The 26,605-nt window shown below is 37.9% G+C and overlaps 1 protein-coding gene across 8 annotated transcripts in view; it reads right to left on the reverse strand.

Annotated features, from left to right (window-relative positions):
• The window catches only part of KCNIP4 (potassium voltage-gated channel interacting protein 4), a 1,220,167-nt gene that overhangs the window by 151,666 nt on the left and 1,041,896 nt on the right, over positions 1-26,605 (reverse strand). The window contains exon 2 of one of the 8 annotated variants that reach the window (NM_025221.6): positions 2,337-2,438. The exons of the other annotated variants lie outside the window; for them this stretch is intronic. Coding sequence (NP_079497.2) covers positions 2,337-2,438 — 102 coding nt within the window. The remainder of the gene's footprint in view (positions 1-2,336; positions 2,439-26,605) is intronic. 8 annotated transcript variants of the gene reach the window in all.

Below are 26,605 nucleotides of genomic sequence, written 5' to 3' on the forward strand. Positions count from 1 at the left end.
GTCCTGAACATGAGAGACTTTTGCAAACATGATAAACCATTCACCTTTCCAACCCTGGAGGAGAAGGCGAAAAAGGAAGAGGAGAAGGCAGGAGTCTTATGGGGTCCACAAATCACGAGCTAAGTCTAGCGTAGGTTCAGTATCAGCCAGTACTATACAATCCCATTAGTATTTAAAGTGATTCTGATCATTTTTTTAGTATTTTCTATTTTTTTTCCTCTCAAAACATCCTTTTCCCTCACAGTTAGTTGAAAATTGCATTGCATCCTCTGTGAACATTTATTTGGGGGCATGGCTTTATCAGACGCTGGTGCAGAAGAGTGCTAACGAGACATGACAATTTTCTACTTCTCTACGTGAATACAGAGATCCATTTGAAAGTTACATTTTACCTATCTACAGTGTACAAATGACTATATTTTCAGCAAATATCTAATAAATTGGCAATTTTGATTCCAACCTGAAAGGAGAAAAGCAATGACTCTAATAACCAACAATCTTTGACAAATAGTGGCAATAAAAGTGCCTGCAGCTTCAATATCATGTAGGATTAGGGCTCTGGCATTTTTCTAGATTATGGTCTTCCAGGTTGCTGATGATGTTATGTTTTGTGAGATGGTGTGCATGTGTGTGCAATGAAAGAAAAAAATCACAGCAATGTATCTAAACTATAATTTTAATTTTTGTATGTGCATTGGCTTAGTGCTAACGAAAGTTATTTAGTTCTGCCTCCTCTCCCCACAGAATATAATGTAAGCTCTAATAGAAGAGCTTTCTTTGTTTTGTTTTGTTTTGGTTTGGTTTTTAATCTGTTTTAGTCACTGCTCCATCTCCCAGCACAAGAAGCAGGCAGTGACATACAATAAATATTTGTTGAATGAATAAGCAAATTAATTAAATCTTATTATGATGATATATCACCTTTGGTCAGTGCCATTGAAACAAATTGCTATTCTATTCTGGGACTTTTCACTGAATGTATTATGTTGTTTGTGGTTCTTTCCATATTTTCTCATTTGTGTTGTGGAGACCCATGACATTTTAGTGCATTCATATTTTTAAATCACTAATTGAATCCATGAGTTCCTACAAAATGGTGTAGCAGTATAAAAAGCGAGTAGGTGGAGCTGTGGGTTATAGCCCCAATACTCAGGGAATTCCACCTAGATTTTTAATGTTGCATTTTCTCACTAGCAAATAACACCACCTTCTCTGTCTGATTCTAAGAGTTGTTTGATGCTTGAAAAAAATTGTGTATAAAAGAAAGTTTGTACACAGAGAATATTTGTCAATGTATATTCTAAGTTATATAGCATCTTTATAAAATAAGCTGAGGATTTCCTTTAGATATTCCTCTATTTTCTACTCTTTAAGAATGCCACAAAATAGAGAAAAAGAAGATGGAGAATGTGATGGTTAACCTCACTTGTCAAGTTCGGCAGGCTATAGTACACAGTGATTTAATCAAACCCTAATCTAAGTGTTGCTGTGAAGGTATTTTGTCGATGTGCTTAACATCTATAATCAGTTGACATTAAGTTAAGCATAGATTACCCTGAATAATGTGGGTGGGCCTCATCTAATCAGTTGAGGCTTCCTGAAGAAGAAATCCTGCCTCAAGACTGTGACATCAAATCCTTCCTGAACTTCCAGCTGCCAGCATATTCTATGAATTTCAGACATGCCAGTCCCCATAATGGTGTGAGCCAATTCCTTCAAATAAGTCTCTTTACATATATGCATATGTACATGTGTGTATATGCATGTGTATGTATGTATATGATATGTATATGCTTATGTGTATGCACATGAGTATGTATTGGTTCTGTTTTTCTAGAGAATCTTGACTGATACAGGGAAAGAATCAACAAAGAAGAAAAGTCACGTTTATTTAAATGACACTTTGTAATCTTTTTTCTAATCTAGTGATATTTCTGAATTTGGGCAGTGTCCACTGGGATTATAGACCCAGTGGATGAGAGTCAAACAATGTACAAGGTCATATGTTAAAGTGTCCAGCTGCTCTGCTAACAAGGCAAGCAATAGGAATTCCTACAGTTACTTGAGTCCAGTCCCCATCCCTTACATCAAACAAAAATGTCCCAGTGTTTTGCAGGACAGGCTCCTGTCACTAAGACTGTGCTGTCAGTCTGCAAAATGGAAAATGACTCCTAATTGCCCAAATGTTCTCCTGGGTATTTAGGTAAACATGAGTACATCAATAGATTGCTTTTGTAGAATATACTGATTCTTTGTAGAGAACGGCAATGCATGCAGGCCTAAAGAAACGAAACAAGAGTTTCGGAGGAAAAAAAAAAACAAAAAAACAAACTTGCTTTGAATAGCAGGAGACGACGTTTTGGCAGCTGAGCAGGGCAAGAGCTTCATGAGCCGCTCTTTAATGCTGCGCTTGGTGCTGTTCTGAGCGTACAGGAAACCTAGAAGATACAGGATCAGTTCTGTTAATGCTGTCTGCAGAGAGAAAAGGGACGTGCTGCAGGGTTTATCAGAGAAGCCAGGCAGGAAGGATCAGGGACGCAGCCATCCACTCAGGCAATCACAGGCAGTGGGTTGGGACCCCCGAAAGGAAAAAAAAAGTTTGTTTTCTTCTTATTTAGTTTTGTTTTTATTTCTAAATGTTGTTTTGAAGATAATGACGAACAAGTGAAAGCAGAATCGTAAAATATATCTATTGAACGGCAAAAGATTAAAAAAAGCCACCAAAAAAATCTGGTGGTTTTTTTTTTTTTTTTTTTGGCCCTTAGATCAGGGATAAAACAAGTATCACTAGAAGAGTTAACTGGATTGAAATTTCAATATTCAAACCAGCGCTAAGGGCCCACATGACAATTTTCTGCTATTGCTCCCCATCTTTGATTATAGCAGAGATAGATGCTTCACATAAATCATTCACACCACAATCACCTGTTAGTACCTTTGCCTTCCTGAAAATGAGAAAATAAATGTCCTTAATATGCAGCTTCATTAGCATATACTGACATGCCCAGAGATGTGACAATCTTTCCCATTTTTTACATGTGGACGCTAATGAATGGAACTTTTTCAAACAGACTAATTCTGGAAGAAGCCAGACAAGCTTGTCAAACATTAACCCAGGAATAGACGGAGCAGTATGTGTGACAGCAGATACCTGGAGATGACTCAAGAAAAATCAAAAGTGGCTGGACGGGTGAGCTTGCAAACTGCTGAAACAACTTTTGATGTCAGGAGCCAACTATCCAAGTCAGCATCAATTTACCCACCCTGAGGTCTCAGACACTTGGATGTCATGTTAATAGGTAACTAGCCTCCCCGAGATCAGCATGCAAGGTGTCAAATATAAAGCATCAGCGCAGAAAACAATTTAAATCGAGGTTCTACCATCTTTATAACAGGAATCTGGCAAATGTATCACTTGTTCCTTTTCTAGTTCTTATCTTGGAATTATAAAAAAATTCCTGACCACAAGCCTACTGATTTAGTTTCCTAAATCATATGTTGCACCCACCAACAGTATCCACTGGCTAAAACTCATGTGTGTGTGTAGAGTAGGATGACAAAATGAAGTAGTAAATACACAAATTAAATAAGATCATTCCTCTGATTAAAAGCCCTCTAAAAGCTTCATGTTGTTTTTCTATCGAGGACGCCAAGTATGATCTGGCCCTGTCTGAGTCTCTGGCAGCATTTGCAGCCACTCTCTCTGCTTTCTGGGCCATCCACTATTGGCCACACTACCCTTTTTGCCTTTGGTAGAACTCACAAAGCAGGCCGTCCTCTGGCCTTGACACTTATGTGGTATGAAATGTCTCATTCAACTGCTGGTTGAGGGTCTGGCATGTAACAGAAGGTCAATAAATGCCTGGCAAATGAGTAAATAAATTCACTTTGGATATCTAAAGAAGACTTGATTCATTTCCTAGATTAGTATCTAAGTAAGCTTTTTAAAAATTTTACTTTAAGTTCTGGGATACATGTGAAGAACGTGCAGGTTTGTTACATAGGTATACATGTGCCCTGGTGGTTTCCTGCACCTATCAGCCCATCATCTAGGTTTTAAGCTCCGCATGTATGTGTAGAGTGGGGTGACAAAATGTTATAAATGTCCTTAATATTTCCCTCCCCTTGACCCCCACCCCCTGACAGACCCCCGTGTGTGATGTTCCCCTTCTTTTAAACTTGCAAAATAAATCTGGTTTACATAAAACACACCCTATATTTTGCTTCTGATTTCCATTTCTGGAAGGATGCAACGATTTAACTACCCTCTCCTTTGCAAACTCCTCCAGGACATGAGGGTCTTACTTTAGCTCCCTACACAGGCACTCTGCTCCTCCCCTTTATGCCATTTCAAACCTCCGTGCCAGGATATGTGCTGTTCCCTCAGTTTTGTCAGCTGTTCACCAACTCTCAACTTCTGTATCCCAGTGCAGCCTTTTTTTTTTTTTTTTTTCAAGACAGAGTCTCACTCTGTTGCCCAGGCTGGAGTGCAGTGGCGCGATCTCAGTTCACTGCAACCTCCAGGTTCAAGCAATTCTCTTGCCTCAGCCTCATGAGTAGCTGGGATTACAGGTGCATGCCACCATGCCTGGCTAATTTTTGTATTTTTAGTAGAGACAGGGCTTTGCCATCTTGGCCAGGCTGGTTTCAAACTCCTGACCTCAAGTGATCCACCCACCTTGGCCTGCCAAAGTGCCAGGATTACAGACGTGAGCTACTGCGCCCAGCCCCATGAGGCTTTTAAAACTCAGTTCAAACACACCTTCCTCTGGCCATCTTTCCCTCTTGTGTCTCCAACTTGCCTAAAAGAAGAAAGACCTCCTCCCTCCCCTGCTTCCCAAGCTAACTTTGGGAGAAATTTAGCTTATAGTTTAAATGATAATGGCCCTTCCCCAAAACTAAACTGCCTTTGTAAAGCTAATGAAAGATCACCAGGTTAGGAGGATGAGAGGAGCGTGAATTCTGCTAAGGTGTAGCCATAAGCTATTACCAGCCGTTATTCTCGAGGTCATGAGATTCATAACTTCCCCAATTACTCCTGCAGATAACATCACTACTGTAGAACCTAAGATTGGCTTTTTGAGATGTCTTTTCAGGTTTTTGCATTTCTGACAATGAATGGCTTCGCCCAGACCTGCCAACCAGTCCTGTGACCCTACCCAGAAGCCAACTCAGCATGAGGACCATTTTCCATATCCCTAGGATTGCACCCCAACCAATCAGCAGCACCCTTTCCATTACCCATCAACTATCCTTGAAAAACCCTAGCCTCTGAATTTTCAAGGAGTCTTATTTGAGGAATAATAAAACTCCGGGTCTCTTGCTCAGCTAGCTCTGTATGAATTAAGCTCTTTATTGCAATCTCTCTGTCTTGATAAATCAGCTCTATCTGGGCAGCAGGCAAAATGAACCCATTGGACAGGTTACAGTATCTGCTTCAAAAAGTTAGGATCAGAGGAAATAATATATAAAGCACTTATCACAGTGACAGCCACATAATGCAGTCCAAACAAATATTAATCATTTTGTTTCACTTATTTGAGTATACCCTATTCCCTACTGTCTCAGGGCCTTTTCACATGCTATTATCTGAATCTAAACTTCTGCTTTACTTTCTCTTCATCTGGTTAATGCCTGTTCATCCTTCAGATTTCAGTTCAATAACTTTTTGAGGAAAACCTTATAGGGCAAACCAACTAGATTATGAACAGTTATTATAGATGCCCATAGTTTTCTATGTTTCTCCATAGCAAGTATAATTAAAACAATTCATGATACAATTACATATTTGACACGTCTTCCCTACTGAAATGGAAGATGGAAGATGTCTACTTCTAGCCTTTACAGAATAAATGTTACTGGATATGCTATACCACTGTAAGGAACCATATAACTGGACAAGCTACATGAGGGAACTCTTTCCAAGAATTGAACAATAAACAACATAGAACTGTGATGCTTGAGAGAAGAAAAATCCCAGAGGTGTGCTTCACAAATGCCCTGGCTCGCCCCTGCCTGGTGACATGTTCCTTCCATAGTTCAGGGAGGTAGAGCTCATAGTCACTGAGCTGAAGTGGCAGAGATTAGAGTTCCAGGCTCCTGAAGTGGCTGGAATTTGTAGGCCAGGGTTAAGAGAGAATTGATGTATGCGTGTGTATTCTGCAGGTAGCTGGTGGGTGGGAAATTTGTGTGAAATTAAATGTGGGTTATTGACTAAGGGCTGGGATATGCACGATATCCAAGGCTTCCCAATGCTTAGCAGGCAGGGCTGAGAATGGAATGAAATAACACAAGCCACATAGAGCTGGAATGCTGCAAGTTGTTAGAGTTCTAGCCCTGCCAGCCTTCCAAAGAAGACTTCACTGAGCACCTCTGGCGTTGCCCTGAGAACTCAGAAAAACCACTTTGGGAGTAAGGATAATTTCCTAGAGTAAGGGCCATAGTGTATCACTGAGGTAATAGCCAAAGTTGACTGATCCTAACAAAGAATAGACCTAAAGCTAGAAAGACCAAAAAGAGCTGCTGAACTGTAGAATGCTTCGAAACAATATTCAATATATTTTAAAAGAAGGCAACATGACCCAAACTCCTTACAATGTATCCTAATAACATCTTTTGTACTATAAAAAAATTACTAGACATGTGAGAAAGCAGAACAAATGTGACCCATAATCAAGAAAAAAGAGAAGTCAATAAAAACAGACATTAGGTAGCACAGATGTTGGAAGTTGTAAGAAATGACGTTAAAGATAGTCATAATAAGTAAAGAAAAAAGTTCAGAAGAGAAATTAAACTACAAAAGGGAACTAAATGAAAATTCTAGAAATAAAAAGAAAATTCTAAAAGGAAAACTTCATTAGATGGACTTAACAGCAGACTGAGAACTACTGAAGAAAGGATTATGAGCTTGAATAGAGATGAAAAGGAAGAAATCTGAATAATAGAAAAAGATTTAAAAATAAAGAGAGCTTTACTCATCTGTGCATCATATCAAAAAGTCCAACATAGGTATAATTAAAGAACATAATGAGAGGTGAGATAAAATTTTGAAGCAATAATGACCAAAATATTCCACATATGTTTTAAAACACAAGTGAAATCTGTTGAACCAAAAGAAGAAAACTTAAAGTATAATAAATAAATAAATAAATAAATAAAAGAAGAATCACACATAGCTGTAGGCAAAATGCTGAAAATCAAAAATGAAAAAAGGCTTTAAAATGAAAAGAGAAGAAAAGGACCCGTACATACAAGGGTCAAATAATGTAAGAATAATTTTTCATCAAGAACAGCAGAAACACCAGAAAACAATGGAAGAGAATCCTTAAAGTTCTCAGGGGAATACAGAGACTATCAACCCAGAATTTTACCTATGTTTTTGAGAATGAAGTTGAAATAAAGATACTTTTAGATAAAATAAACCTGGGATAATTCATAGCTAAAAGCCTTGCATTCCAAGAAATGCTAAAGGAATGTCCTCAGGCTGAGGTTAATTGGCATAATACGGAAACTTGACTCTACAGGTAGAAATAGAGAGCACAGGAAATTGAAAATATGTGAATAAATATATTATCCTGTTTTCCTTTCCTACTTTCTTTGTTTAAAACAGCAAAAAAGTATTGTAGAGTTTATTACATTTGTAGATGTAAAATTTCTGACAATAATAACATGAAAGTTGGGGGAGGGTCAATGGAATTTTAATGTATGATGCTTACATTTTACATGAAGTGGTACCATATGAACTCAAAATAGTCTATAATAAATGAAGGAGACATACTGAAATCTCTAGATACAAGGGAAGCAGTAAAAAATAATATAAGAAGGTATAGTCAAAACTCCAATAGAGGAATTAAAATGAAATATATAAAATATTTAATTAATTTAAAAGAAAGCCAGGGAAGAGGAATAGAGGGACAAAAAGTAGAAGGGATGAGTAGAAAATACATAAGATAGTAAATGTATACCCCACCATATAATTAAATCAGAAATTGTATTTTTTATTCATTACTGAATTCCCAGTATGTTGCACAGTGCTTAGTATATAAAATGTTCAATCACTATCTACTGAAAGCATGAAATCAGACTATATATCTTTTATGATTGTCTCAGTATGTGCAGATTTGCTACTTGTAATTAGCAGATGCATTTAGAATGTACATATATGCTTCCTCACAGTGTGTGAAGCGATCCCTAAATAGATAGCTGTGTGTGAAGGCACTCTCTTAAGGATGATACTGACAGAATGAGGAGGTGGGACTGAATTCCCCAGCCAATCACACTAAAAGAAAGTTGATGGTGAATCTCCAAACTGCCTTAGTATGTAGGACATTTACCCTCACAGAGACTAAACACTCTTTGTTTTCATTAATTTATTAAGTTAATATGTATCGCCACCTACAATGGACAGATTCATATCTTAAATTAATTGGCTACATAAACCACTGAGCCTAATGAGAGCATTCAAAATTAAGTCAAAATAATCCTAGTTTACCTCAAAATCCTTGTCTTTCTCCAAATTAAGGGCCTGGCCAGCTGTCATAAATTACATATTCCTTTTGGTTTTTTTAAAGGTTACATGTTCAAGAGAGTGAAAATAAGATGTTCTGTCTAAAGGCTACCATGCCTGGTTTGTAAATGAACCTGTTAAATGCTGTATTTGCTCCCACAGCTTACTACAGAATGTTACTTAATACAATATCATACTTATTACAATTTTTACTATAGGAGTGTAACAGGTAAAATTAATCTCTATTTTAGTGGGCCCATGTTTAGTCTTTCACCATCCTTTAAATTGCTGTGAATTTTTTTGTCATGACTTGAAAGCAAGGATAGAGAAACATTTTAGAGATATCTGGGTTTTTTTCCATTCCAGAACTTGTGAGGATAATCATATTTGCTTCATATTTATAGTCATGAACTCCTAAGCTGGCAGCTACAACCAAGAACCAAAAAATGGTGCATTCTGCTTCTTGTAATTCATCTCTGCTAGTAAATTATAAGAAGCAGGGAAAATATTTTATTTGGATGGTTTCTATAAACAAGGGACTATAATTCTTGTACATTATTTTTCATCCTTGCTATTTCTTTGAGCAGTCTAATGTGCCACATAATTATCTAAGGTATTTGTTTTCTATAAGAATTGTTTCACAAGTATTCTTGTTATCAGAGTAGTTGTATTATATTTCAAAATGTAAGATGATTTTTAAAAGCCTGAGTACTGACCTAAGATGCAACTGTATGAACTCTACTCTGGAGGGCGGGGAGGGTGTCAGTGGAAGTCGTAAGACTTTTATTTTTTTGTGCCATCAAATACAGGTAAAAATAATTGTGCAATTCTGCTTTTTAAATAGGAACTATTGGCCTGCTTGGCCCTAAATGGAAGGGCTGATATTTTAAGTTGATTATTTTATTGTAAATTAATCCAACCTAATTCTTTTTAATTTGGTTGAATGTTTTTCTTGTTAAATGATGTTTAAAAAATAAAAACTGGAAGTTCAAAAAAAAAAAAAAACAAAATTAAGTCAACTCCCATACCTCTGCATCTAGAAGTCAAACCAAACTGCTAGTATACTAACATAACACTTTAAAGACCATAAAACAAAGCAATACAAAAAGAGATGAAAAATTACTTTTCATCTCATAAATATTTGTCCAAAAAGCATTCTTTATAATGTACATATTATAAGCATTATAAATGATGTTCTTTGTAGAACTGTAAATATACAGTGGCTACATAGAAAAAAAATCCCTGCTGTCTAGAATCTAACCATCTGCATCTATTATAATACCTATGACATTGCAGATCCCGAATTCCCTGAGGGGAGGATTCTGTTTGTTTATGAATTAACTCATTTAAAAGCATTTGTTGAATGCTAACTATGTGCTAGGAACTGTCTCAGATGCTGGCAATAATGCACCGAATGAGCCAGCCAAAAAACTTCTATTTTAGTGGACCTTACACGATATTTAGGAAAGAAAAAATAATCAACAAAAATAAATAGCAAGTTATAAAGTATATCAGATATGAAGGAGGGATGGGGCCTAGAGACTTCTGTTGGTGGATATGGATATGGGTAAGAAATAGGACGGGGAAAGACATAATTTTAAATATGGTGGCCAGGGAAGGTTTCATTAGAGATATATTTGGGCAAAAATATCTACATAAGATGAAAAGGTGTCTTATCCTGTTTCGATTATTAACAATAACAGTGTATTACATATATTAGGTACTAATATATATTTGTTGAGTGATTCATATCACTTATTAATTTATTAAGTTAATGTTTATTGCTACCTACAATGGGCAGATTAATAAATTAGTTGGCTACATAAACCACTGAGCTCAATGAGATCATTCAAAATTAAGTTTACTCCCATATCTCTGCATCTAGATGTCAAACCAAACTACTAGTATACTAGTACTTCAAACACGATAAAATGAAGTAATACAAAAAGATAATAAAAAGTAAGTGTGTAAATATATAGGCCATTCTAACTGTGCTCTAACTAAATGAGAATGTATTCATTTTTACCAATTGGAAAGGTTTTATCTTATAATGCCTGACATTACTGAAAACACGTCAGCCTATCATCATCTTGATTGCTCCATTTTTCTGGTCATGCAGACCTCAGTGGTGGCATATGCAAGTGGTCATTCTCCACTGGCTGCTTTTTGTGTTACACAGGAAATGCCATCACATGTCAGTGTCATGTGTCAGTGCTGAGCGATGGGCCATGAATTATGAATTCAACAAGTACTGACAGTGGCAATGAAAGTGGTAATTTCACCATAATGAGAACTATTCTTATCTTCCTCCTTTTTGCAGTACAGCAGATAGCAAAAACTTCTATTTCTCATGGGTTAGCTTGGAAATAATGGCTCGTACTCTATTAATTCACAGTCCCGATCAGCTTCTATTTTGTACTTTTGAAACACGGACAATGTTTTTCTTCCTAGATTTTAAGCCTGTAGAAGTCTGGTGGAAGAAAATGGCAAATAATGTTTCTACAGATCTGGTGTCTTCCCATGAATCAATAACTATGACAAAAATTGGGCTGAGCAAGGTGGCTCATGCCTGTAATCCTAGCACTTTGGGAGTCCGAGGCGGGCTGATCACGAGGTTGGTAGATCGAGACCATCCTGGCCAACATGGTGAAACTCCATCTCTACTAAAAATACAAAAATTAGCCAGGTGTGGTGGCAGGTGCCTGTAGTCCCAGCTACTCAGCAGACTGAGGCAGGAGAATCACTTGAACCCGGGAGGCAGAGGTTGCAGTGAGCCAAGATCACGCCACGGCACTCTAGCCTGGAGACAGAGTGAGACTCCGTCTCAAAAAACAAAACAAAACAAAATAAAAATCACCAGGAGTTTCAGGGGTACTGTGATCCCATCTGTGTTCTTTGAGTCAGTGACAAGCTGATTCATCAGTAGTGTCATGGATGCTGGGAATAGGGAGTACATTTTTTTACTAGTTGCAAATATGAACTTATTTATTAGGTTTGGGCAAAAGTAATTGTGATTTTTACCATTGAAAGTAATGGCAAAAACTGCAATTACTTTTGCCCCAACCTAATACTATGATGCCTATTTTTAAAGTGGACTTACAGTTCATAAATACTAGCATGACTACACAAACAAACACATACACTCAGAATTCATTTAGTATTTTCAAATTCATTCCTGAAGATACTAGGCCCCAGATAACTTGGGGTTCATATGCTGGTAATAATTCTTGCAGAAAATTGCTGCCCAACCATGCAGTTGTTATTGGATCTTGCAGTCAGCCCCAAATCATTCACTTTTAAGAGAAGTAGCAACAGTGTTGCTGACTGAATATGAGGAAAATACCTACATTTCATTTTTTAACTTTTTGAACTTGGGAGGCAGAAAATGACCTTCCTAATTGACCTGTTTTGTTATGCTTGATTATAAAATAGTTTGTGTATCAGTTTAAAAGAAGGCAACTAGAAGGTGCTTGAATTTGCTGAAAACGATCTACAGATTCCAAATGCAAATGGAGTAAATTTGACTCTACTTAGAGTGGCTACCTAAATACACCTGTTTCTCATAAAATTAATGCTACTCTCTGTCAGCCTTTCCATCTCTCTATCTGTCTTTCTGTCTCTGTCTCACTCTTTCTTAGTCTTTGTGCCTTTGCTTTTATCTTTGTCTCTTTGTCTCCCTCTTCTTCTCTGTCTCTGAGTTTCTCTGGCTCAATGTCTCTCTCTGTCTCATTGTTCTACATCTCTGTTTGTGTCTCTCCTTTATCTTTTTCTGCTCTGTTTCTGTCTCTACCCCGACTCAGTCTCTCTCTCAATCAAGGCAGGGTCCTATTTAATCTTCTTTACCTTGGTGTTGACTGTGTTCTTAACAAAACATTTAGAGAGAGTTTTGGTCAGTTGAGTGCAGAATAATTATTGCATGTTATCTGAGGCAAATATTAGCAAACAACTGGATGGTCAAAAGCTGTAATGCTTTCTAAAGCCGCTTCTAAGTGTGTTTGTTTTTATCACCTCTCTGCTGTACTGGCAGAACTAGCCAGAGAATACTAGCAGAAAACAACATGGAAAAGGCATCAATTTTCCTTGGGATCTTTTAAGATTGACCAATTGAACCTCAATTTTCCCTTGCTCCTCTGAACAATTTGCCAAAACTACTTCTACAGGGCTATCCTTTGTGTGGGGTTTGGAAATTATCTGGAGTTCCTTATAAATAGGGTGACAAGACCTTCGTTTGTCCAGGATGCTGCCAGTTTATGGGAGTTGTCCTAACACCCCATAGTCTGCACCCCCTTTTCATGTTCAAAAATGTTCTTGTTTAAATGGTAAATTATATGTTCATGCAATATTAGCAACCAGTATGGTCTGTTCCACAGACTAAGGTACAGTCATTGACTAAGTGAATACTTCATTGCACTGTAAACAATGTAAATAATGCAATTTCATTTTAAAAAATGGTGTTTTAAGAATAGCTAAATTAATAGAGAAGGTGAAATAGGAAACTAAAAATGTTTTTGTGAGCACATTAAAGCTAACATTTATGATGGAAAGATTTGGAACTTTAGGGTTCAGGGAGAACTCATTTGAATCTAAGCGCTGCCACTTTTTGTTTGTAAGGCTTCGGAAAAGTAACAACATCACTGAGCCTCTGTTTTTTTTTGTTTGTTTTGAGACATAATCTCACTCTTTCGCCCAGGCTGGAGTGCAGCAGCTTGATCATGGCTCACTGCAGCCTCGAACTCCTGGGCTCAAGTGATCCTCCCGCCTCAGCCTCCCAAGTAGCTGGGACTATGGGCACACACCACCATGCCCCAGTATTTTTTTTTTTTTTTTGTAGAAATGGGGTCTTGCGATGTTGCCCAGGTTGGTCTTGAACTCCTGGGCTCAAACAGTCCTCCCCACTCAGCTTCCCAAAGTGCTGGGATTACATATGTGAGCCACCTCACCCAGCCACCTTGCCTCTTTGATCTCACCTGTATATGAGGTAAGCAGCCAAAGCAAAAAGGAATTTATCAAAAATGACAGCAGTATCTTTTTGGATATAACCTAAACCTAATGTACTATTTCTTTTCCGCAAGCTAACACAAATAACTCTTATTTATTTTTATATTTTTTAATTGAGTTTTTGATCAGTGAGCCATGATCAAGCTCCATGCTGGAGTACAGTGGTGTGATCTGGGCTCACTGCAACCTCCACCTCCCAGGTTCAAGCAATTCACCTTCCTCAGCCACCGGAGTAGCTGGGATTACAGGTGCCTGCCACCACACCCGACTAATTTTTGTATTTTTGGTAGAGATGGGATTTCACTATGTTGGCCAGGCTGGTCTTAAACTCCTGACCTCAAGTGATCCGCACACCTCGGCCTCCCAAAGTGCTGGGATTACAGGCGTGAGCCACCGGGTTGAAGCATTTTTAACAATCAAGCATTGTAACTTCAAACTTTTCTTTGGGATAAGCCAAGCATGCCTTTAATATCGGAAAGCAAGCGACAGGTGAGTAAGGTTGATTCTTCTGATGGCGAGAGAACACAAATAAATTGATTCTTAATAGGATTTGGGATTACAAGGTGTATTTTCGTGTTGGAGTGTCCATTATACAATGAATCTTCTCCTCCAATGTCACCCACAGTAACTAGTATATATTCTTAGGTATTGTCTAGGCTACTCTGTTCATTTTATGACTGGCCCATCACCTGACCACTGCCTTTTAATAACATATTTGAAGGGATTTTCAGGAAAAACAGTCACTTGTTTCCTTTTGTTCATTCTTTTTATTTTCTCTTAGTATAAAATCCTGCAGAATCTCATAGTCTACTCTAAGAGCTTTGGCTTCTACTCAGAGTGAAATAAGGAGAAAACGGAGGAGGATTTTTTAGCAGAGGAATGATATCATCATATAATGTTTTATTCAACAACATTAATTAAGCACCTATTTGGCACTGGCAAAAACATAGTCCTTGCTCTTGTGAAATGTATAATCTAATGGGGAAGGATTAACAATAGAACAAGAAATGAATTAAACAATAGAACAAGAAAGTCCTCTAAATTTCATCTTGAACATGATCTTGTTCTAAGAAAAGATGCAGACAAATAATGCCTAAGATGCAATGCTCTAACAACAATAAGAACAAAGAGAACCTTCTATGTGCTAAGTACCTTACAAGCATCATATTATTTAACCTTCACAAGAGCCCCACTTGTGGAAGATAACATTATGAAAGCCAAATTATAGCAGAGGAAATTGATGGTAAAGATGCACGCAGTTTGTAAGTGGCAGTATCAGGAATGTGAACACTTGTTCATCTGTCTAGCTCCTGGGTCTGACATTCTGACTTCTGTACTGCACTAACAATGGCTCCACAAAATGGAACACTTATTGGATGTGTCTAATTGTGTAGTTTCTAGCTGCAGAAAATTTGTTTCTCTTTGTGGTATGGTTTTAATTTCCTTCTCTGCCTCTTTGGTTAAGCTTCTTAACCCATCTTGTCTTGAATATAGTCCTGAGAGCATGGTGTCTTTCATTCCTTTGCTAGAAATGCTACCTCTAATTCTATTTGCAGTAGGACATCCATCAAATTCCTGGTGGTATTAAAAAATAATAATGTGGTTTAGGAGAAAGCTGCACTAGGAGATCCAATTTTTTCATCTGAAAAATGGGGCTAATAATAGATGACACTAATCTCAAGGAAGTTGGGAGATGAATGAAGTAATTGTTTCTGCAAAATGCTTCAAATGCCAGAAGAAATAACATATAATCCATTATAATTTTTGATGTGAGACAGTACTTTCCTTTCCTGAGTTCTTTTGTGTCACTGTATTTAATTTTCATCTTTTAACAATGTATTTATATTCAATAAAAGTCTTTATTCATTAATTTAACCAATAAGTATTTATTGGATATAAGGTAGACCCTGTGCCAGGCACCCGGGAAGAAAATCAAATAGAATAGTCAATGAAGCAAAGTCTTTACAATCTTGTGAATATCCATTACTTGGCCATGATTGCTCATTAGAATCACCAAGGTGGCTTTAAAAAATTAGCCATGCCTGATCATTCCAGACCAACTGCATCAGGTAATTCTAATGGGAGGCCAAACCTGAGAACCACTGTTCTGCTTTGGGAAAATATGATGCCAGATAGGTTTTCTTAAGAACTGTAGACTTTTGATATTGCAAGCTGATTCCTGGTGGGCTAGAGTTGGAGCTTTTTAGCTCAAACACTTTTTTTTTAAATTAACTGGGCCAAAAACTAAAAATACACATATTCCACTTAGAATGTTGGATTTCTGGCTTCTGAGGAGGAACTGGATGGTCTGGCAACCTTTTGTCTGCATTTCTGTATAGCAGAAATTGGATGGGTCTGGTGAGGAGCTGCCCCTTTCACACAGGACATGCATGCTCGGTTTGCCAGTTTCCTCTGTTGCCTATCACACCCAACGCTAAGAGACAAGTCAAGTGCTATTCATCTTGGTTCACTTAACTCATTTACATTAGCTGCCTGGCCCCTGTAGGAATTTAACTTTTTTACTCTCCTCTGGTTGTTTACACATGGACATTGTAACTGGTTTGAATTGTGTCTTTCAAAAATTCATGTTCATCTAGAACTTCAGAATGTGGCCTTATTTGGAAAATAGAATGTTTGCAAATGCAATTAGTTAATATAAAGTTATATTGGTTTAGGGTGGGCCCTATAGCCAATAACTGGTATCTTTCTGGAAGGAGAAGACAGACACACAGAGAGGGAAGCAGGCCATGTGAGGACAGAGGCAAAGATTGAAGGGAAGCCAGCTAAGAGCCAAGAAATGCCAAGGATTTCCCGTAATGACCAGGAGCCAGGAGAGGAACAAGAATAGGTTCTCCTTCAGAGCCTCCAGAAAGAGCCTACCCTGTGGAGACCTTAATGAAGACTTCTGGCCTCCTAAACTGTGAGAGAATATATTTATCTTGTTTTATGCCATCCAGTTTGTGGAAATTTGTTACAGCAGCTCTAGAAAAGTAATACACACATCAGTTAACAGATTTTCAAAAACACCAGAGAAAATAAAATTAAGCCATGTCCATATATTCATCCCCTACTGTATATAGAACAATGTCTGCACACACAGAATCGCCAAAATGTAAGACAAGGGGCTCTACTTGTAGTGCCTTCTCATTAGTACTGGTATTTTTTTTTTTTAATTACTGCCAAGCTCACTCATCCCAGGCAAATTAGTCCACCACACACTACCATGGAGTGGATTTCTACTTGTGTGAAATTGGCATGTTCTAGATTCTGTACTGCTAGTATTAGGTAAATATCAGTTGAGGCTGAGCATTCACAAAGAACTAAACTAAAAGTAAATATTGTCCAGTTTTTGTTTCAATTAATTAATTAATCACATGTTTATTGAATAACTGATGACTTTCCATATCACTAACAGCCAAATTCCCTAATTAGCAACCTGTGGACAACCCACCCCCTCCAACCCACCGCCCCTAAATCTCATCTGTCTCCTCTTCTATTTTCCTCTAATTTCTTTCCTTGCCACTGCTGGTCACTGTGCCTGAAATGTCTCCTCTCAAAAATCTTCAAGATCTCTCCCTTACCTCCTTCAGGTCTTTATTCCCTTGCCACCAACTCAGTGAGGACTTCTCTCACAGGGCACTTAAAACTGTGTCCTCACGAAACTACTTCCTATTCTCTTTCAATTTTACCCCATAGGTTGGCTAATGTTATAGCCTAAATTGTACCTGCCCCTCCCTCCCCCCGCCACCCACATTCATAGTGAAGTTCCAACTCCCAGTACTTCAGATTATATTTGGAGATAATGTTTTTAAAGAGGTAATTAAGTTAAAATGAGGCCATTAGAGTGGGGCCCTGATCCAATATGATTGGTGTCCTTAAAAGAGAAAGATATACTGTGATGTCTAAGCCCAGAGGAAAGGCCAGGTGAGGACGCTGTGAGAGGACAGCCATCTGAAAGCCAAGGAGAGAGGCCTCAGAAGGAAAGACGCCTGCTGGCAGTTCTGTCAGGAGATCTGATCTTGGATGTCCAGCCTCCAGAACTGTGAGGCCAGTAATTTCTGTTGCTTAAGCCATTCAGTCTTTGACATTTTCTTACGGCAGCCTATGATGGTGAACTTTGTATGTCAACTTGACTTAGCTAAGGGATACCCAGATACCTGGTCAAATATTCTTTCTTGGTGGGTCTGTGTTTCCAGAAGATAGTAGCATTCAAATCAGTAGACTGAGCAAAGAAGACCCACCCTCACCAGTGTGGGTGGACATCATCTAGTCCTTTGAAGGCAGAATAGGAAGGCATAGGAGGGTAAGTTCCCTCTCTTCCTCAGCTGGGGCTTCCATCTTCTCCTGCCCTTGGGCATCCTGGTTCTCAGGCCTTTGGACTCCAGAACTTACATCAGTGCCCCTTTCAGACTCCAACTTGATTATGCCACTGACTTTCCTGGTTCTCCAGCTTGCAGGTGGCCTCTCATGGGACTTTTTGGTCTTCGTAATCATGTGAGCCAATTCCCATAATAAATCAACCTCTTTCTGTTTCTCTCTTTGTATACATAGTCTATTAGTTCTGTTTCTTTGGAGAACCTTGGGTAGACAACATAGCCCTAGCAAACTAACAGAGCTAACCACATGACTTATTGTCCAACCTGGAACACCACTAACAATGAATGAAGGGGATATTATTAATAATGATATCCAGACACTTGGCATAAACTGTAACTTCCCATGTATATCAGGACATTTGGTAGCCTTATCCATAGTACCTATCATTATAAATGCACAATGCACTTTAGTTAGTTAGATGTTTATTGCCTGCCTCTCTCCACCAGATAGTAAATTCCTTGAGGGCAGAGGTTTTTGTGCTTTTACTGCTTTATATCTAGCACCTAAGTATCTGGGACATAGTAGAGTCTCAATTGAAGAAACTGAATAAATAACTGTAAACTGTAAGGATGTGGTTAATGTTCACTGATCTATCTATATTTATGTCTATATCTATATCGTATCTATCTATCTCTATCTCATCTATCTATCTATGAAACTTTCTCAATGCGACTACCAATTATTTTGTACCTGCTATTGGCTAAGCAAGGTACTAGGCATTTTACATATGTTATCACTCATTTTAACAACAACTTTGCAAGCTGCTTATGGTTTCTATTTTAAACTTGACCCAAATACCTCAGAGATTTTAGGTAACTTCTCCTATACCGCTCAGCATATAGCTAAAGATTCAAACTTATTGCAAAAAAGATTTTTGTACATTCTTGGCAGTTAAACAATAACATAAATGCAGATTTCTAGCTTATCAAATTTAATGATCAATACTTAGGATATTGTTAACTGTACATGTTGATGTGCCAGTGTTATCTACAAATTATATCAATGTGGGTTCAGAATAAATTGTATTTTTTAAAAAAGTGTGGGTAGAAAGATCTCTAATGCTTTAATCCTAAATCCTCTATCAGCATAACAGAAAAATCAGGGACAACAAATCAATGTCCCTAAGATGGATATGAGTAGCTCTTCCTGCTAATTTGATTTTTAGTAACTAATTATTTAGGCTGGCACACAATGTGAAATATTGTCCTTGAAAACAGGCCCTGCTGCTCAACATTTTATTTATTAGAAACTGAGCCAGGAAAATCTAGTGTTAAAATTTATCATAGCAGCTGAGGGGTTATGTCCTGATGAAGTAAAATAATGCCATGACAAGATGATAGATGTTTTCTGATATCTTCTTATCACTATCTTGACCAGACCAAAATATTGCCTAAGAGGATTCTTTTGAGTTATGCAAAGTGAAGTCACATTTTGTATGCAATTTTGAAATAGGACCCTATAAATAATCAAGTCTTACACTATTTGCAACTTGAAAATAATGCAATACACAAGTTTTTGTTACATTTGTCAAGAATTTCATAACTTCAAAGCTGGCTGGCTGAATGAATGGTGAGCTCTTTAGGATATTGTGCTAAGGTAATATCCCTTAAAGCTTGCAGATAAACTCTGGACATCCTTATTAGCCTTATGGAAAAATCCACTAAGACCTTAAACTACTTGAGGTCTCCAAGAACATATTCTTCAAATAGAACATGATCCCTGTGTAATTCACTCTGACTAGGCTTCATCCTAAACACAGTGGAACTAAATTTTTAATCCTGAAAATGCTAGCATCACTCAATTCCATTCTACAAATATCTGTTGATGCTTAGGACTTATTAAGTCTGCCCTGATACTTTCCCCAAGGATCTCAGGGTTTTATTGGAGACAGGGTGAACTTGTTAGGCATAAAATAATCTTAAAAATGACCTCACTCTGGGGGCTAATCCTGTGCCTAAGTCTGTCATTCAGAATGTGCTACTGTATTGAATCTATCAGATTCTCCAGCTCTTCCAGATCTCAATGAAATGGAATATAGGGCTCCTTAGGAAACCCAAGACCACCTATTTTAGAAATATGCTATAACTAAACATTGAAAAAGGTACATTATAAGTGCTGTCATATGTAAGCTTTAAAAGAATCACTTATAAAGGAAGAAATGAAACCCGGGGATGATCAGAAGTCTGAAAACTAACGGAGTGTGTACATTAACCTGGTAGATTACTAAGGCCACCCCATAAACTATGTTTCATTCACCTTTGTGTCCCCAGCATCACGCACAAGGCCTAGCATTGACTGTTCAATACATATCTGTTTAATGAATGCATCATTGTTGGTTGAATTTCAAAGGAGAAAGAGAGGCAGGCTTCTCTTCATAAATAAATCATGACTTTTTCAAGATTCCCAAAACAATTAGTTTTCCACTAAAGCAATCTGAAGTGCCAGATCCTGGCAAACCTTTCTGTCCCTGGGAGACAAGCACGTTCAGAAAAGCAGAACCTTCAAACTTGCAGAGCCAGCTCATACTTGGTGGCCTTCTCACCTTAGGCTACTAGTTACTGAGAGTTGGGGAAAGTGGGGAAGGAGCCCAGCACTGTCAACAGACTTTATTGGTTGAAGAAAACAGTGTTGTTAAAACACTCACAGATCATAAAAAGAAAAAAAAAACACCCAAGGATATAAAATTGAGAAAAGATATCTGGAGAAAGCAATATTGTGTTCTCGAGCTAAAATTTCATAGGAAGCTTTTGAAAATGACCTCCTGGGTAAGGAAAATTATGGATCCTATCTATTCTCTGATTGAGCAAACACATTGAATTCAATACAATCTCAGCACCACATGTGCACAGAACAGAGCAGGACAATTTGTCTGATAAATGCGTTTATAGCAACAATATTTATGAGATCTATGTAGGCTTTGAGACATTGAGCTGAAGAAGTTTGAGCTTCATGTTAACAATGATAGCAACACAAGCCATTTTGTTTTCTTTGTGAGTGCTTTACAAAGCACTATCCAATTTAATCATGAAAAGAAAACAGTCCTATGAGATAAGCATGAAAAAGTTTAGGAAACAGAAAATGTTAAAGCTCAATCGCGTTTAGTTGAAACTCCTTTCTTCAGTTCTTCCCATACTGGGTTTCTCTTTTTCTTTATGTCCTTGTTATTTAAAATGTAATAAGGACATTGGTACTTATTGGTCTCATCAGCCTCACCCGGTAGCTTGTTAGCAATGCAGAATCTTCTAACTCACTCTTGAGCTACTGAATCAGAATTTGCATTTAATAAGATTCTCAGGTGATTTGTATGCACATTAAATTGTGAAAAGCATTATCTACATGGTGTCATATTAGTCATCTGGAATGCCTGCTTTTGGAATCTTAATTCATTATGAATGAGGGATAAGTAGAGGGCACTGTTATAAGAATATGGTGTCAATCTATGAATCTTCTCAAAACATAATCAGATTCAAATATTAATGGCATTGGTGATACATAGGTTAAAGTTATAGACTCTGAATCCTGGTTTTGCCACTTACTGTGTGGCCTTGGGAACACTCCTTAACTCTTTAAGCTTCAGTTCCTCATTTATAAATGAGAATAAGTATACTAAACTCAAGAGGTTATTGTAAAGGTCAAATGAAATGAGTACCCAGAGTGGTCACACAGTGAGTTTGCAGTCATATTTATTCTTTAAGTATGACATGAAACAGAGATTCACTCCAGCTGTCTATCTTTCCAAGAAAGGAAAAAAAAAAACACAACCTTTTAAAGTCTTTCTTTTAGATTTTCACTAAGTCATTCCTTTGAATACTATCATAGAGACCTGCTTTGTGTTAGCTTTGATCTTTGGAATTCTGCGGTGGTACAAGGTCATGATGAGCTTCCAGTGAATTATCCCACAAGGAAACCTTGACACATTTTCTGGACTTTTCACCACAGAGATTACTCATGTCTTCTCATATTCTGATTCTAAGAGGCCAAAATTATTAGATAATGGGGTGACTTGAACTCTACCTTTTTTGGATACAAGTCTGGCCCTTCTAGGGTTGATACACTTCAAAAATTCTTCTTAAAATCTGTGGAACAACTGAAAAGAAGCTCAGATAAATTCTCTTTTCCAGGAGTCTTGGAGACAAGGGGACAGAGGAAGAGTGATCTGTGCAGGGATGCTGGAAACCACAGGGAGACTACAGGAATTGAATCCTAGAAAAAGGAGCTGATTACAGGAGGGTCAGCTGAAAACAAGGAGCCACGGCATACCCAGTTTAGTTCTCTAGCACCATCCTGGCAGCACCATACCAGCCAGCAAGGTATTAGGTTGGTGCAAAAGTGATTAGTATTGCACCAGCCTAATATTTTATTTTTGTTGTTATTGCTATTTTTTGAGATGGAGTTTCACTCTTGTTGCCCAGGCTGGAGTGCAATGGCATAATCTTGGCTCACTGCAACCACCACCTCCCGGGTTCACGTGATTCTCTTGCCCCAGCCTCCCAAGTAGCTGGGGTTACAGGTACCTGCCACCACACCGGGCTAATTTGTGTATTTTTAGTAGAGACGGGGTTTCACCATGTTGGCCAGGCTGGTCTTGAACTCCTGACCTCAGATAATCCACCCTCCTTGGCCTCCCAAAGTGCTGGGATTACAAGCGTGAACCACTGTGCCCGGCTAAGCCTAATATCTTAAAGAAAATAACTAATAAAAAATTAAATGACTGTGTTCTCTCTGGTATGTGTAGTGGCAACGTGAAGATCCGACTTTTGTTCTGAGTGAAACAAGAAACATGGAAAATGCTTTATGAAAACATATTACATAGAGATGACTTATTTAATATTGTGCCATTGTTTCTCATATGGGAATAATTTCCTATATATGTGGTGTGCAATTTAAAATTAGATATCATAAACCACTAGGGTAAAAATATATGAGGCCTATACCGGGATGCTGTTTCAGCATGCAGAATCATTATTCTTTATAGAGCTAACAAATTCTTAAAAGACAGGCTGAGAGTTAAGGATCTGAAAACACTGCAAACTATCAAAGGCATACGAGGAATTTAACAATGCAAAATGAAATTTAAGTGAAGTACCTTAGTTCCTCTTCTTGCTTTCCTACTGAACAGCAACCCTATGTCTTTCTGTAGAAATGTTTATTTTGCACCATTATTTTGACACGTTCAAATATGACACTTTGGTCATATATTACTGCATATTTAAGCATGAGACATCAATCAGATACATGTAAGAAATATGTTGGTTTGGTCCAGAAAGGCAGGACAACTCAAAGCTGGGGCAGGGTAGCCACTATAAGACTTCAAAAGAACCTTGGTCTCCACAATCTTTTATCTGAACCTAAACGTTTCCTTTCTATTGATCTCAGGTCTTTAGACAAACCCAACCAATTGCCAATCAAAAGATGGTTAAATTTACCTATAGCCTGAAGCCCCCACTTTGAGTTGTCTTGCCTTTCTGAACCAAACGAATGTACTTCTTAAGTGTATTTGATTGATGTCTAATGCCTCTCTAAAATGTATAAAACCAAGCTGCGCCCCAATCACCTTGGGCACATGTTCTCAGGATCTCCTGAGGGCTGCGTCACGGGCCATGGTCACTCATATTTGGCTTAGAATAAACCTCTTCAAATATTTTACAGAGTTTTGCTCTTTTCATCGGCAGAAATTAATGAGAAACTAGCAATGCCTTTAATTGCCTGAGCTGGTTACTTGAGCAGACTGTCATCCACGCCTCCCTCCTCTGAAGCCCTACTTGCTGCCCCACTCTATTAGATTATCAATTTTAGATCAACTGCTGCAGGTGGTGCCTGGCTCTACTTGATGGGCTCCCCTCAGTTTGCCAAAGATTTATAAAAGCAGTGTTTTAAAGAATGGCGTTTACCCACTGAGCTAATTTTCCTCTCAGTTAGAATTCCATCATTCTTTAGCCTTAAGAGTAAAAAGTGAAAGGAGAATGGAATTAACTAGAGAACTGCCTATAGTTCTCTATGTGACTGTTGTGTTACCCTTCTCTAATAGAATAACTCTCTGCTCTTATGGTCAAGTTGGTGTCATCCAGAGATGAGATACAAGAATCCAGGGAAATTTTTTATCAATGATTGATTTTATGGGGCATTGATTTATAATAGTAACAATAATTTAAAACTATATATATGTATGTGTGTGTGTGTATATATATATATATATACAGATATATAGATATATATTTGAAACCCTAGGAAAGTTATATGGGCATAAAAATTTCATTTTGGAATCATTTGTCAATTTTGCCTTGAAGATTCAGAAGCCTTCTGGAATTTTCTGAACACAAATAATTAAACAGTATAATTTCCACACTATCTCTCTTTTTAAAAAGATGGGTGCTTAAATATACAGAAAACAACTTTATTATTGATTTTTAAATGTAATACAAAACACCTAACCAATGCACAGCATTGAAACAATTCATCAATTTATCTGGCATCCTTGATTGGAGAGTCCTTAACAAAATGCTAATTTAATTAAGCCTTAACTGTTTTTTTCTGACACCCTGATTAGAAAATGTTCAACTAATAATATAATCTTAAATACCAATAATGTTTTAAATTTTTACAAATTCGTGCAAGAACTCTTGATTCAAATTTGATTTCCTTTCTGTCTAAACCAATCTATGAGGTAACAATTTTACTTGTGTTTATCCTTGGTCATCTGAGGATGTAGCAGTAAAGAAACAGTAGTCAGAAGGTGTTTTTAGGAGAAGGAGGAGGAGGAAGAGGATGAGGCATGGGAGTAGGAATAGGATAAAGACTAGAGTAGTTTTGGAAAAAAGCATTTAAGAGAGACAGTTTTTTCAGCCCAGTTCCAAGACATTAGATGATGTTATTAGAACTTAAAAGGAAAAACGTTCTGCTTGCTGAAATGACATTTTGCATATAGGAAGTGTGTTACGTTGCTAGGGCTGCTCTAATAAAATACCACAGACCAGGTGGCTTAAACAACAGAAATTTATCTCACAGTTCTGGAGGCTGGACATCCAAGATGTAGGTGTCAGCAGGTTTGGTTACTTTCAAGGCCTCTCTTTTTGTCTTGTATCGATGAGCACCTTCTCACTGACCTCACATGCCCTTTTCTCTGTGCTAGTGTCTCCCTGGTGTCTTTTTCTCTTTTTATAAGGAAACCAGCCATACTGAATTAGGGTTTCACCCTAATGACCTTATTTTAACTTTAATGAGTAAAATCACAACCTCACAGATTGGTTTAGACTGAAAGAAAATCTAATTCGAATCAAGAGTTCCCATGCATGAATTTCATAAAATTTAAAATATTATTGGTATTTAATATTACACAGGTAGTTGAACGTTTTCTTTCTTTTTTTTTTTTTTTTGTTTGAGATGGAGTCTTGCTCTGCTGCCCAGGTTGGAGTGCACTGGTGCAATCTCGGCTCACTGCAACCTCTACCTCCCAGTGTCAAGTGATTCTCCTGCCTCAGCTTCCCGAGTAGCTGGAACTACAGACATGTGTCACAACGCCTGGCTAAGTTTTGAAATTTTTTTTTTTTAAAGTAGAGATGGGGTTTCACTGTATTGGCTGGGCTGGTCTCAAACTCCTGATGTCGTGATCCGCCCGCCTTGGCCTCCCAAAGAGCTGGGATTATAGCTGTGAGCCACCATCCCTGGCCTAGTAGTTGAATATTTTCTAATCAAGGTATAGGGAAAAAAACAGTTAAAGCTTAATTAAATTCGCATTTTGTTCACCACCTCTTTAAAGGCTTCATCACCAAATATAGTCGCATTCTGAGGTACTGGGGTTTAGAACTTCAACATACAAATTTTGAGGGACACAATTCCACCACTAACGGGTCAATTTCCCCTTCTTCTTCTTTCCTTTCCCCTTCCCCTTCCCCTTCTCTTCCTCCCTCCCTCCCTCCCTTCCCTCCTTTCTTCCTTTCTTTTCTTTCTCTCTTTTTCTCTCTTTCTCTTCCTCTCTTTCTCTTTCTCTCTCTCTTGTCGGGCAGCCTCCCAACAGGGGGATTTTAATAAATGTCTGCTGACTCTTGATGGGGCAAATCACTATCAGCTGTGCCTATTGGGCTGCTTTTTAACATTGCTGCTGAGCTGTTGGCTAGTGAAACATGTTAAGGTTCTTCTGGTCATCCGAAGATCCATGTGCCCCCTCCCTTATCAGTCCCTTACCCCGTCTGCACTGAATTATTACAATAGTATTATAACTGGTTATGCAGATTCATCTATGTCTCACCCTTCCATGAGAGCAGTCTGTCTAAAGCCTAGTTCTAACGAAAAAGCCCACAGTCCTTCACTAATTCAGGCAACACGTTTCTGCCATGTCTGCCTTGCCAGGAACTCCACTAGACATAAGAGATACAAGAGAGAGCAGTCAAAACTTTCATTTGCTCCCCCTTGCCTTCCAGATAAAGTCCAAATTCCTTTGTATAACATTTAGTATTTAGACCTTACCCACCTCCTCAAATGTCCCTATCCTGGAATTCACAAAGGGCTATTTTTCACCTCCTAAACATATTTTGCACATTAGAGCCAATATACCCTTTATGCTCTCTACTTTTCTATCTGTTCCCCTTCCTATAGAAAACCTACACATCCTTCCATTCCAGCTTTAGACCCTTGCCATTGCATATTGTAGTGAGACTTCATGGATGTATGGAATGAAGAAGGATAATTTAAATGTTTCTGAACTGAGTATCTGGGAAGAATGAGGAA

This window comes from Homo sapiens, chromosome 4, assembly GCF_000001405.40.
Source record: "Homo sapiens chromosome 4, GRCh38.p14 Primary Assembly".
Lineage (NCBI taxonomy): Eukaryota > Metazoa > Chordata > Mammalia > Primates > Hominidae > Homo > Homo sapiens.